The 13,246-nt window shown below is 51.8% G+C and overlaps 2 protein-coding genes and 2 long non-coding RNA genes across 20 annotated transcripts in view, besides 2 other annotated features; 2 read left to right on the top strand and 2 right to left on the bottom strand.

The window, feature by feature from the left end:
* Positions 1–13,082, bottom strand: part of HEXD (hexosaminidase D) — a 24,299-nt gene extending 11,217 nt beyond the window's left edge. For 7 of the 13 annotated variants that reach the window (XR_007065292.1, XR_007065293.1, XM_047435788.1 and 4 more), the window contains exons 1-4: positions 12,689–13,082; positions 11,546–11,680; positions 6,926–7,035; positions 2,784–2,871 (exon numbers count right to left, since the gene is read on the bottom strand). Coding sequence is in view for 11 of the 13 variants with exons in the window: in XM_047435788.1 (XP_047291744.1) it covers positions 2,784–2,871; positions 6,926–7,035; positions 11,546–11,629 (282 nt within the window). In the remaining 2 variants the exon portion in view is untranslated. Of the gene's footprint in view, positions 1–2,783; positions 2,872–3,034; positions 3,177–3,301; positions 3,400–6,925; positions 7,036–11,545; positions 11,681–12,688 lie in introns of those variants that run through there. The other 6 variants (NM_001369487.1, NM_001369488.1, XM_006722280.3 and 3 more) reach the window with 6 other exon arrangements.
* LOC124904091 (uncharacterized) lies at positions 1,017–5,517 on the top strand. The gene is made up of 3 exons (XR_007065958.1): positions 1,017–1,995; positions 3,919–4,053; positions 4,977–5,517. It is a non-coding gene; the product is annotated as an uncharacterized LOC124904091 (long non-coding RNA).
* Positions 4,825–6,104, bottom strand: HEXD-IT1 (HEXD intronic transcript 1). The gene has a single exon (NR_170223.1). It is a non-coding gene; the product is annotated as an HEXD intronic transcript 1 (long non-coding RNA).
* Positions 6,611–7,446: an enhancer, noted in NCBI's record as "H3K4me1 hESC enhancer chr17:80381859-80382694 (GRCh37/hg19 assembly coordinates)". NCBI's record gives its function as "activates a minimal SCP1, AML or CMV promoter by ChIP-STARR-seq in primed H9 embryonic stem cells {active_cell/tissue: H9 hESC(primed)}" and the evidence as "EXISTENCE:reporter gene assay evidence [ECO:0000049][PMID:30033119]".
* Positions 12,667–13,246: a silencer, noted in NCBI's record as "silent region_9211". NCBI's record gives its function as "represses an Ori minimal core promoter by ATAC-STARR-seq in GM12878 lymphoblastoid cells {active_cell/tissue: GM12878}" and the evidence as "EXISTENCE:reporter gene assay evidence [ECO:0000049][PMID:35858748]".
* The window catches only part of OGFOD3 (2-oxoglutarate and iron dependent oxygenase domain containing 3), a 29,377-nt gene continuing 28,973 nt past the window's right edge, over positions 12,843–13,246 (top strand). For all 5 annotated transcript variants that reach the window (NR_033265.2, XR_007065458.1, XM_047436759.1 and 2 more), the window contains exon 1: positions 12,843–13,017. Coding sequence is in view for 3 of the 5 variants with exons in the window: in XM_047436759.1 (XP_047292715.1) it covers positions 12,944–13,017 (74 nt within the window). In the remaining 2 variants the exon portion in view is untranslated. The remainder of the gene's footprint in view (positions 13,018–13,246) is intronic.

Here is a 13,246-nt window from a genome sequence, read left to right as displayed (position 1 = left end):
AGCACTTAGGGAGGCAGAGGCGGGAAGATCACCTGAGCCCAGAAGTTTGAGACCAGCCCAGCAACATAGTGAGACCCCACTCTTCACAAAAAGGAAAATGAACAAAAAAAATTAACTCAAAATGGGGCCAGGTGCAATGGCTCATGCCTATAATCCCAGCGCTCCGAGAGGCTGAGGTGGGAGAACTGTTTGAGGCCAGGGGTTCGAGACCAGTCTGGGCAACATAGTGGGACCTGGTATCTGCAAATAATAAAAAAAACTGGCCGGGTATGGTGGCACGCACCTGTGGTCCCTGCTACTCAGGAGGCTGAGGTGCTTGAGCCCAGAAGCTTGAGCCCAGAAGCTCAGGGCTGCAGTGAGCTGTGATTGTACCACGCGCTCCAGCCTGGGTGACAGAGTGAGTCTGTGACTCAAGACAAATAACTTGGATGTTCAAGGGTTCTGGAGAAAGAATAAAAATACCAAACTAAAAATGGATCATAGATCTAAATGAAAAATGCACAGAAGTTAAACTTTAGAAGAAAATACAAGAAAAATCTTTGTGATCTGGTGATCACAAAGAGTTTTTAGAAATGACACCAGAAGCATGTAGCTCTACACTGGGGGAGAATACCTGCAAATTACATACCATCAGAGGACTTGCATCTAGAACATATAAAGAACTTTAAAAACTCAAGTTGAAAAAAAAAATGGGCAAAACACCTGAGCAGTTATTTCTAGTATACCAAGAGGGTATACTGGGCTGGGCACCGTGGCTCACGCCTGTAATCCCAGTACTTTGAGAGGCCGACGCAGGCGGATCGCCTGAGGCCAGGAGTTTGAGACTAGCTTGGCCAACATCTTGAAACCTCATCTCTAATAAAAAGATAAAAAGTTAGCCGGGCATGGTGGGGTACACCTGTAATCTCAGGTGCTCAGGAGGCTGAGGCAGGAGAATCACTTGAACTCGGAAGCAGAGGTTGTAGTGAGCCAAGACTGCACCACTACACTCCAGCCTGGGAAACAGAGTGAGACCCTGTCTCAAAAACAAACACACAAAAAGGGTATACTAATAGTAAATGTACACATGGAGGGTCTTCCTCAGTAAGAAACCAACCCTTCGACACGCTGATTTTGGATGTCTGGTCTCCAGGGCTGAGAGAACATTTCTGTTGTCTTAAGCCACCTGGTTTGTGGCGATCACTTCTGCCCTGACAGCAGTGTCCTTTGAGGAGATGGCGAGTGTGAGTGGTCAGGGCTGTGCTGTGACTTGCTGTGGTGGGGAGAGGGGCACGGAGGGGCAGAGTGGCCCCGGGAGACCCATTAGGAAAGTTTCATGGTGAGTCCATAGTGGTTTAGACAGGGGTGGTGCCTGCATGACAGAGGAAGAGGAGGAGGAGCAGCAGCAGGACCAACATGGGTCAGGGCGTGGCGGGTGGTGGTGCTGACTGTGGCTGGTCTGCTTCTGGTTTGCACACCAGAGGCTGGAGGAGGGCCCTCAATGGAAGCGACCAGCAGGCAGCTGGGGATGAGGGTCTGTAACCCAGGAGGTCTGGAGTTGCTGAGGTGCAGACAGAAGAGGAAGAGGAAGACGAAGAGGAGGACAAAGAGAAAGCAGGAGCAGAAATGGCACCATCTAGAGAGAGAGTGGGAGGTGGGGACAGGGACCGAGAGGAGCCCTGGGGACCGCCAGCTACAGAGAGACAAATGCAAATGGATATCGAGGAGGTGCAGTCAGAGGCAGAGGGAAGCCAGAAAGTGTGGGGCTCAGGAGAGCGGCTGGGGATGCCAGAAGCTACCGAGGGGCCCAGCAGGAAAGGACTAAAACCGTCCCTGGACTTAGTGACCTGGAGGACCCTGGCGGCCTTGGCAGAGACATTCTGTGGATACGTGGCAGGAGGCTAAGAGCGCAGGCCGGGTCCCAGAGCAGAGTACGATGGAGAGAATCAACTAGAAAGGCTGGAGGACCGAGCTGTGGGAAGGAACTCCGGTGGCACGCCCAGAACACCGACATGTGTAAGTGAAAACAACCTTCTTACCCGCGGTGTGTGGAAATAGAAGCCAGAATGGTGTATCTGTTAGAGAAATAAATGGAACCTAAGAGCCATTAAATCGGTGTGGTGGTTAATGCCGCATCACTTCCTGTTTGATGCAGACAGGAAAAAGAATATGTGTATATATATATTTTTTGAGACGGAGTCTTGCTCTGTCACCCAGGCTGGAGTGCAGTGGTGCGATCTTGGCTCATGGCAACCTCTGCCTCCTGCGTTCAAGTGATTCTCCTGCCCCAGCCTCCCGAGCAGCTGGGACTACAGGTGCCCGCCACCATGCCTGGCTAATTTTTGTATTTTTAGTAGAGACGGGGTTTCGCCATGTTGGTCAGGCTGGTCTCGAACTCCTGACCTCAGGTGATCCACCAGCCTCGGCCTCCCAAAGTGCTGGGATTACTACTGGTGTGAGCCACCGCACCTGGCCTGAAAAGCACCTTTTCTTTCCCTAATACTGTGTTTTACCTCACATAATAATATTCTGATGAATACAAGTGAAAAAGGAAACTGCCTCCAGGACCCCTTTTCTGGCTCTTTCCTTCCATTCCTCAGGCAGACAGGCAGCCCCAACCTGCAGCTCTGGCCGAGTCAGGCAGGGACTTCCTAGACCAAAGGCCTTTCCATGTTGTGCTGAGCTGCGCTGCCTGCACCCCAACCATGGGCCCGCTGCACCCACCCCTGGGCACAAGCCTGGCCCAGCCTGCAGCCCCTGGACCCCACACCTGGCACCAGGTAACTTCCATTTCTGCCACTCACCTCCATGTGTCCAAATGTCTGCACCAAGGGAATCACCTCCAGCTCATTGAGTCCAGCCAGATGCAAGATCTCTTTGATTTCAGAGGGGCTGGAGAGACAAAATTCATAGAGAGAGGGTCATGTGAGCAGCACGTGACTTCCACACCCACCCCCCCAGCCCTTCCTCATCAGGCCCTGGGGGGCTCTCCGGGAAACAGTAAGGCCCTAAACTCCACAAAGCTTGACAGGTATCCTGATTTCTGGAAAGGTACCTGCTCCAAAATTTGGGAAGATGATGTTCTAGCACGTCCTCAAGTAATGGTTCGCTTTTCAACCCACGACAAGAGAATGAAGTCATCACATTTTACAAGAAACTACTCAAGGCCAGGCACAGTGGCTCACGCCTGTAATCTCAGCACTTTGGGAGTCCAAGGCCAGCAGACCACTTGAGGTCAGGAGTTCGAGACCAGCCTGGCCAACATGATGAAACCCCGTATCTACTAAAAATACAAAAATTAGCCAGGCCTGGTGGTATGTACCTGTAATCCCAGCTACTCGGGAGGCTGAGGCAGGAGAATCACTTGAACCCGGGAGGCAGAGTTCGCGGTGAGCCAAGATCGCACCACTGCACTCCAGCCTGGGAGACAGAACAAGACTCTGTCTCAAAAAAAAATAAAAATGCTACAGAAGGTGCCACACTCCATCCAGAGCCGGGTCAGCAGCTGCCCGAGGGCAGGTCCACCACAGGGTCCTCAACCTGAAACAATCCTGGGGCGCCCGTCCTCTGCAGAAGGGCCACATCCTGGGAAGGGCTGACTGCCCCGGGTCGACCTCTTCGTTTTTCACAAGCTTTACATGAGCTGTCATTTATGAATTTATCTAAAAAAAAGCTATTTCTAGTTTTTGTATGTGTTTGAACCATCTTAGGCTAATCCGTTCTATAGATTTATGAGTTACATAAAGTCTTTAAACATTCCTGTTTCAAGCTTCGAAGGAACCCTGGTACTTTACTTTTTCACATCAAAAGACAAAATGTCTTCACTGTAGGAAGAAAACTAGAAGAGTATGAAGAAAATGCAAACCCCTGATCATGTCATCGCACTTGATCATCTCATCGCACCTGATCATCTCATCGCACCTGATTATCTCATTGCAGGCCAACACCCTGGCTCACCGTTCATCACTTCTGGTCTAACCACATGTGGGCTGCATGGGGTGCAGGCATTTTGGAGTTTTGACACATGGAACCGAAGTCCTTCCAGAACAGATGTCATATTATGTTCATCAGCAGGTAGTTTTCCTCTTTCTCATTCTCATCAACACAGTCTTTACAATTTTTCATTTATTTTATTTATTATTATTTTGAGACAGAGTCTTGCTCTGTCACCCAGGCTGGAGTGCAGTGGCGCGATCTCGGCTCACTGCAACTTCTGCCTCCTGAGTTCATGCAATTCTCCTTCCTCAGCCTCCTGAGTAGCTGGGATTACAGGTGCGCACCACCACACCCAGCTAATTTTTTTTTTTTTTTTTTGAGACGGAGTCTAGCTCTGTCGCCCAGGCTGGAGCGCAGTGGCGCAATCTCAGCTCACTGCAAGCTCTGCCTCCTGGGTTCCCGCCATTCTCCTGCCTCAGCCTCCCGAGTAGCTGGGACTACAGGCGCCCACCACTATGCCTGGCTAATTTTTTATATTTTTAGTAGAGACGGGGTTTCACCTGTGTTAGCCAGGATGGTCTCGATCTCCTGATCTTGTGATCCGCCTGCCTCGGCCTCCCAAAGTGCTGGGATTACAGGCGTTAAGCCACCGCGCCTGGCCACGCCCAGCTAATTTTTGTATTTTTTTTGGTAGAGACAGGATTTTGCCATGTTGGTCAGGCTGGTCTCAAACTCCTGACTTCATGATCCGCCTGCCTCAGCCTCCCAAAGTGCTGGGATTACAGGCGTGAGCCACAGCGCCCAGCCCAAGTCTTATAATTTTTAAAAAAGGCTTACCAGTTTGGTAGCCAGGATGGTGTTGCATTATTGATTTAGTTTCTTTGATTTGAGTACTATGAGGGTTTAACATTTTCTTTCTTTCTTTCCTTTTCTTTTGAGACAGGCTCTGGCTCTGTTGCCCAGGTTGGAGTGCAGTGGCGCCATCTCAGCTCACTGCAGCCTCTGGGTCCTGGGTGTTAATCCAAACTGCACCATTTTGTAAGCCCCCTGCTGTTTTCCAGACCCAGGTTGAAGTGAAACATTCCACGGGGTTTGGGCTGTGAGGAACATCCTGCCCAACATCCTGACCACACGGCCCAGGAACATCCCGACCACCCGACCACACGGCCCAGGAACATCCCGAACATACCTTGCTGGGCAAAGGCCCAGCTGAAGGAACATCCTGATCATATTCTGCTGGGAACAAGGACCCAACTGCCTCATCATGGGAACATCTCTCAACATCTTCCCAGGCAGAAGCCCTACTGCCCAAACCCCTCCCGTCCAGGCCTGTAAGTACCCCAGCCTGTAAGCGGCGGTGGGCTCTGGCATTAAGCTGGTCCCCCCTCTGTAGGTTTCTGCACTATACCTCTGTTGCTGTAGAGACGCCCTCTCTCTCTCTGTCTTTCTTTAACCCTCGCCTTCCCTTTAAAAAAACCTAACACCAGGCTCAAGCCATCCTCCTATCTCAGCCTCCTGAGTAGCTTGGACTACAGCCCCATGCCACTATCCATGGCTATTTTTTGCATTTTATGTAGAGATGGGGTTTCACCATGTTGCCCAGGCTGGTCTCGAACTCCTGAGCTCAAGTGATCCACCCACCTCGGCCTCCCAAAGTGCTGGGATTATAGGCGTGAGCCACTGCACCCGGCCTAATTTTTGTATTTCACATAGAGATGGGGTTTTACCATGTTACCCAGGCTGGTCTCAAACTCCTGAGCTCCAGTGATCTGCCCACCTTGGCCTCCCAAATTGCTGGGATTACAGGCGTGAGCCACTGCTCCTGGCCTTCACATTTTCTTATATGCTTATTGGCCTTTTTTGTTTCTTCCTTTGGGATTGGCCAGTTAATGTCCATTGTGCATTTATCTTTGGGGCCGTTATTGATTTTCACAGAGACCTGTGATTTTAGCATTAAGCAGGGGCCTCCCATCTCCACCACACCTGATTTTATTGATTTTGATTCTCTCCCCTTTAATTCTTCTCTTCTCTAACTCAAGGCTCAACTGTGGCCTGAAGAGCAGCCCCTCCCTGCGCGGAGGCCTCCTCCAGCATCCTCCAGCCTTCTCTAGCTCAGCCTTCTACAGCCTCCTCCAGCCTTCTCCAGCCTCCTCTGACCTTCCCTGGCCTCCTCCAGCCTTCTCTAGCCCAGCCTTCTCTGGCCTTCTCTAACCTTATCTAGCCTTCTCTAACCTCTAGCCCAGCCTTCTCCAGCCTTCTCCAGCCTTCTCTAGCCTCCTCCGGCCTTCTCTAGCCCAGCCTCCTCCAGCCTCCTCCAGCCTTCTCCGGCCTCCTCCAGCCTCCTCCAGCCTTCTCTAGCCTCCTCCAGCCTTCTCCAGCCTTCTCTGGCCTCCTCCAGCCTCCTCCGGCCTTCTCTAGCCCAGCCTCCTCCAGCCTTCTCCAGCCTTCTCCAGCCTTCTCTGGCCTCCTCCAGCCTCCTCCAGCCTTCTCTAGCCTCCTCCAGCCTTCTCCGGCCTTCTCTAGCCCAGCCTTCTCTGGCCTTCTCTAACCTTCTGTAGTCCAGCCTTCTCCAGCCTTCTCCAGCCTTCTCTAGCCTTCTCCAGCTTTCTCTAGCCTTCTCTAGCCCAGCCTTCTCTGGCCTTCCTTCTCTGGCCTTCTCTAACCTTCTCTAACCTTCTCTAACCTTCTGTAGTCCAGCCTTCTCCCATCAACAGAAGAAACGCCTGCAGGACAGAGACAGGAACTGCAGCTCTTCCCTGTAGGGGGCGCTGCTGATGCTTACTTTCCCTTTAAATGTTTCAAAATTCTCTCCAGTGAATGTTTGAAATGAAACTTTGTTTTCATACAATTAAAGAGATGAATTTAAAAAGACAAAAAAGGAATGTACCCACCACTGTTCAGTTCCTGACTGTGCCACCCGCACCTCCAGGTTGCTGCTCCTCCTGCCCTGCGGAACCCCCCCTTCCCCGCTTTCACGCCGCGCCCCTGTACCTGCCACGGGCAGTGTTACCTGTAGGCGTACTTGGCCCTCAGCAGCCTCAGAGGGCCCTCGTAGGGAAACATGTCTTCATACTCAATGAGGAGGCCGTTTGCACCTAGCGCACGGAACAGAGGAAAAATCTGGGGGGTAAACAGGGAGGGGTTAGGAAGAAGTGGCTGCTGGAGCACGATGTGGCAAGTCCACAGCAGGGAGACGCCTTCCCTTTCAGCCTGTGGAGACTGTGGGAGTTGCTACTTCTATTTCTCCTGGGAACCTTAAATCCGGAATGTGTACTTTACGTTATGCCAAATGAAACTCCCCGTTCCAGTGACTATTTTGCACAGAAGGGGAGATATGCTATGAAACAGGGCTGCTACTCAACGCGCTGGTGGCTCAGCTTGGGAGGGACGGGTCCGGCCAGCAGGGAGCCACCAAGAAGCAGCTCTTCATGCACGGCGGCCCAGCAAGGCAGCCAGGCTGAGGGGCACCAGCAAGGCATGGGGGACAGGGCAGCCAGGCTGAAGGAGAATGGCAAGGCATGGGGGACGGGGCAGGAGGAGCCGGGGCAGGGGGAGCAGGGCTCTGAAGGGTTGGGGTCAGCACCTGGGGGAGGTGAGAGAGGGGTGCAGAACTCATTCGTTCCTGGTCTGTACTCATGGGGTCCCTTCCCCCTTATTCTCCTCCCCACTTCCTTGTCTTTCTCTCTTTTTTTTTTTTTTTTGAGATGGAGTCTCGCTCTCTCGCCCAGGCTGGAGTGGAGTGGCGTGATCTTGGCTCGTTGCAACCTCTGCCTCCCGGGTTCAAGCGATTCTCCTGCCCCAGCCTCCCGAGTAGCTGGGATTACAGGCGCCCGCCCCGATGCCCAGCTAATTTTTGTATTTTTAGTAGAGACGGGGTTTCACCATGTTGGCCAGGCTGGTCTCGAACTCCTGACCTCAGGTAATCTGCCCCTCGGCCTTCCAAAATGCTGGGATTACAGGTGTGAGCCACTGTGCCCGGCCTCTCTCTTTTTTTTAACAGATGGGGTCTCACTCTGTTGCCCAGGCTGGAGCGTGCTGGCATGATCATGGCTCGCTGCAGCACCCAACTCCTGGGCTCAAGTGATCCTCCAGCCTCAGCCTTCCAAGGAGCTGGGACTACAGGCACATGCTAGGCCTCCTGGATGACACACATGCAGGAGAACTAAGGAGCCCCAGCTGACAGTTGGGATGAACTGCCGGACATGGAAGGCCACGCGGACCATCAGAGGTTTCTAGATGTTACGGGGCTGTGACCACCTGAGGGCACCTCGGTCAGAAAAGCAGAATCACGCAGCCAACCCACAGAAACACAAGGGGTGATGAATGGGGACCTCAAGTTTGGGGAGATCTGTCACGCAGCAACAGATGATGGAAACAGGGACTCCAGCTGTGTGTAAGTTGGATCTTCTTTGCCTATATTCAATTGTCAGAACGCCTTTCCTTTCTTTTTTTTTTTGAGATGGAGTTTTGCTCTTGTCCCCCAGGATGGAGTGCAGTGGCACGATCTCAGCTCACCACAACCTCCGCCTCCCGGGTTCAAGCAATTCTCCTGCCTCAGTCTCCCGAGTAGCTGAGATTACAGGCACCTGACACCACGCCTGGCTAATTTTTGTATTTTTAATAGAGACAGGGTTTCACCATGTTGGTCAGGCTGGTCTCGAACTCCTGACCTCAGGTGATCCACCCTCCTCAGCCTCCCAAAGTGCTGGGATTATAGGCATGAGCCACCGCGCCTGGCCCAAGTCAAAATGCCTCTTCATCAGCTGTATGTAAGTTCAGTCTTCTTTGCCATATTCAATTTGTCAGAACGCCTTTTCATCTCTGTTTGCTTTTTTCTTTTCTGTCATCTGTTTCCAAATACTGCACTTTCCATGGTGTCTACTCACTTGTACACTTCTTATAGTTTAGTCTTCATTAAAAACATTGTTTTTTCCTTATAATTCATTTCTGAGCTCCACAGGCAATTTTTTACAACCTCCTTTTGTCTGATTACCACATTTCTGGGCTTTTTTTTTTTTAGACTGAGTCTTGCTCTATCGCCCAGGCTGGAGTGCAGTGGCACGATCTTGGCTCACTGCAACCTCCACCACCCAGGTTCAGGTGATTCTCATGCCTCAGCCTCCCAAGTAGGTGGGATTACAGTTGTGAGCCGCTGAGCCTGGCCTGGGCTTTTCTATTTCTGATTTATGCTGTTCTTTCACAGCTTCCGTCATCTTCTGAGTATCTTTTATCTTGTTATGAAATATTATGGAACAGTGTTTCCTGCTGGGTGGGCCTGTGTGTCTGGAGCACCTTCACTGCTGCAATGCTATTCAGATCATCTTCTTTTTTCTTTTTTTTTTTTTTTGAGACAGAGTCTCACTCTTGTCACCCAGGCTGGAGCGCAGTGGCACAATCTCGGCTTACTGCAACCTCCACCTCCCAGGTTCAAGTGATTCTCCTGCCTCAGCCTCTCGAGTAGCAGGATTACAGGCGCCGCCACCACACGGGGCTAATTTTTGGTATTTTTAGTAGAGACACTGTGTTGGCCAGGATGGTCTTCATCTCCTGACCTTGTGATCCACCTTCCTCGGCCTCCCAAAGTGCTGGGATTACAGGCGTGAGCCACCGTGCCTGGCCTTCTTTTTTCTTACCTATCTTTGTATGATGTTAAACAACACTCTTTTTTGCTTCTTTTTTTCTTTTTTTGAGATGGTGTCTTGCTCTGTCACCTTGGCTGGAGTGCAGTGGCGCAATCTTGGCTCACTGCAACCTCTGCCTCCTGAGTTCAAGCAATTCTCCTGCTTCAGACTCCCAAGTAGCTGGGACTACAGGCATGTGTCACCATGCCTTGCTAATTTTTGTATTCTTAGTAGAGACGGGGTTTCTCCATGTTGCCCAGGCTGGTCACAAGCTCCTGACCTCAGGTGATCTGTCCGTCTTGGCCTCCCAAAGTGCCTGGATTACAGACGTGAGCCACCATGGCCAGCCTGTTGCTCATTTTTAAGAACAGGCTCTTGTGTTTGCAATGGTGACAGGCCAGCCTCAAGGCCCCCTCCTCTACTGCTGCCACGCGGTATTAGAAACTGCAGGCTCTGTGTAGCTGCTTCTGCAGTGTTTTTTGACCTCCACCTCTTCTGGACGCCTTTCCCCAGGACCTTTCCCTTCGCTGTTCCTGCCCAGTTCAATGTGGATGCTTTCCCTGTTTTGTCCTTAGTGGGGGGCGCTGTTCCTCTGGAAGGAAGTTTTGTTACGTATTTCTGAGAGTTTTGCAGCCTTGGGCCTCCCCTGCACCCTCCTGGATGTTTCATTACGTATTTCTGACAGCCTTGCAGCCTCGGCCTCCCCTGCACCCTCCTTTAAGTCTCTTTGCACTCAATCTCAGACGGGAGCCATTAAAACTCTGCCCCACTTCTCGCTATGGGAGACCTTTACTTACTTTTGAGGCTATTTTCTGGGTCCTCTGGTCATAGCACTGTTGGAGTTTCCCTCTTTCCTCTGTTACCTCCTGCTTGGCCACTAACCCCATACAGGTGTTATTCTGTCTGTGGTTTGGTCCCACCCACTTGTAGTTTGGGATCCATGGGGACACCCTGATACCTAATTTTGTTGAAGAGTGTCTTAGTTTTCTAGGGCTGCTGTAATAAATGACCATAAACTGGGTGGCTTGGCCGGGTGCGGTGGCTCACACCTGTAATCCTAGCACTTTGGGAGGCTGAGGCGGGTGGATCACGAGGTCAGCAGTTCAAGACCAGCCTGGCCAATGTGGTGAAACCCCGTCTCTACTAAAAATACAAAAATTAGCCAGGCATGGTGGCAGGCACCTGTAATCCCAGCTACTCCAGAGGCTGAGGCAGGAGAATTGCTTGAACCCGGGAGGTGGAGGTTGCAGTAAGCCGAGACTGCGCCATTGTACTCCAGCCTGGATGACAGAGCGAGACTCCGTCTCAAAAAACAAACAAACAACTGGGCGGCTTGACACAACAGAAATTTATTCTCTCACAGTTCTGGAGGCCCTAAGTCCAAAATCCAGGTGTCAGCAGACCCAGCTCTCCCTGAAGGCTGAAGAGGAGGACCCTTCCTTGCTTCTCTCTAGCTTCTGGTGATCGTCAGCTGTCCTCGGCATCCTGGGGTTCGTGGCACGTCATGACCATCTTGGCTGCTGGCACCGCGGGGCATCCTCCTGGGTCTTCACACTGCCTTCCCTCCGTGTGTCTCAGGCTCTAAATTTCCCTCTCCTCATAAGGATGCCAATCACTGGATTAGGGTTCACCATATTCTAGTACAACTTCATCTTATTTTGATTACATCTGCAAAGATCCTATTTCCAAATAAGGTCTCATTCACAGGTCCCAGGGGTTAAGACTTGAACATATCTTTTTGGAAAGATACACTTCAACCCAAAAGAAAGAAGCTGTGAGTTTCTTTTGTTCTCTGTCTTTTTTTTTTTTCCCTTTTGTCATCCTGGTTGTTCTGTTTTTGTGAGAGGCTATGGAGGAAATTCAAAATCAATGCTGCTGCCACCATCTTGCTCCACCGAGAACCTTGTGGTTGTGTTCTAGGTACCCGTTTCCACAGAACACTGCTCAAAACTTTAAAGAATGAAGCCAAGGCAAAAAGTAATGCTCTAGAGGTAAAAGGGAGTCCTTACCTCTGAGAGGTACGAGACCTTTGGTGGAGCTCCTTTAAGGTCTAAATGAACTAATCTCATCTGAAATGGAGTGGAACCTGACATTTCAATATTTCCTGTGAACTCCTATGGCGAAGTCTCCTTGGGGACTTCTTCCTAGTGGAGAAAATCAAGAGTTATCAACAGGGGCAGAAGCTTCTCCCTTTGCCTTTCTCCTTATACTTTCAGTTTCAGTTCTGATACTGGCCAGTTTTGATAGATTAACTTGGAGGAAACTCATTTTGCTAACATGAAAATGAACTGGAAGTCTACCTCCATGTTAAGATATAGAGACCTCTGCTATGTGTGATTTGTTGCTAAAACAAAACAGCACTAGTTTGTTTATAAGATGGTTATGATCTATAATAACACAAATAACTGCCAAACAACCTTGTTTTAAAGACCTTGTTAAACTAGATGTACTATGCTAGTGAAAACAGTCGGGCAGAAGCCTCTAAACATTTTCTTATCAGGCCGCACAATATGATGCTTCTGTAGGAAATTTATCCAAATTTTAGGTAATATTAAAACTAATTTGTATTTCTAGAGCTCAGATCAGCTTGATTATAAAGAGGAAGAAACTGCAAAACTGACTCCAGGTTGGAGAAAACTGTCTAGGATTTAAGGTAAGCTGATAATTTTGAAAAAGCCCCCAAGTGCATCAGAGCTGACCGTAGTATTATACTGAATAAAGGCGGCATCCAAGGGATAACGAAGCAGCTGGGGAAGGGTAAAATTTATGTATTTTTTATTTATTTTTCCTATCTACTATGAAAGCACAAAGGATTGGGTGAGAAAAGGAAAGGAAAGCTTTGCATGTGAGACAGACTCAGTTCAGTAATCCAGCCCCTGGTTCCGTGCAGGGGTTCGGAGGCTGCTGACCCTAAGGGCTCTGTAACACAGCACTTTCAGTTTGTACATACGACCAGTTACACACAATTTACACCCACAGGCTCTGTGCGAGCCTCTCTCAGCAGCCCCGCATCGCCGCTGCGGGACAGCCACGCTGGGAGGCGTCGCTCGGGAGCCCGGCCGTCCCTCTTCAGGTACTGGCGCGGGGGAAACGCTTCCAGCCAGGAGCCGCCCGGCCTAGCGCGCAGAGCCAGAGCCGCACCCGCACCTCACCTGCGCCGCCGCGGTCCCGCGAGGTCCGGGGGCGCAGCCAGGCCCGGCCGCCCCGCCCTCGCGGCCGCCGCCTCCGCTCTGAGCCCCGCCCCGCTCGGCCGCCGATTGCTCGGGCCTGGCCGCCAGCCCAGGGGCCGATGGCCGAGCGCGTCGCACTCGCGTCCCTGCGCCGTGCCTGCCTCGCGCTCCCTGTTACGGCGTTCGTCCCCGGGCCTGGCGCCCGCGTCCGGCCCGGCTCCGCGGCGGCCTGGTCCGATGGCTCCTCAGCGGAGGGCCGCAACCAAGGCGCCCGAGGGCAACGGAGCGGCCGAGCGCCGGAACCGGAGCAGGTAGCGGTGAGGAGGGGAAGGGCGCGCGCTGCGGCGGCGGACAGGGCCATGGAGTGGGCGGGACTGGGGCTGATGGGGCGGGGCCTGGCCCGACCCGGGTGGGGGGGTGGGGGGGGGCAGGTGGGCGTGGTCTGCCGCGGGGGGCGGGGTCTACCGCAGCCCATGCTGGGAGCAGGGCAGGTGCGGGCGGGAGCCGCGGTAGCCGACGGCAGAGGCCCACCTATCCCAG

The sequence above is a fragment of the Homo sapiens genome, chromosome 17, assembly GCF_000001405.40.
Source record: "Homo sapiens chromosome 17, GRCh38.p14 Primary Assembly".
Taxonomy (NCBI): domain Eukaryota; kingdom Metazoa; phylum Chordata; class Mammalia; order Primates; family Hominidae; genus Homo; species Homo sapiens.
Note: the sequence above shows the minus strand (reverse complement) of the source record. Positions and strands in the feature narration are given on the sequence as shown.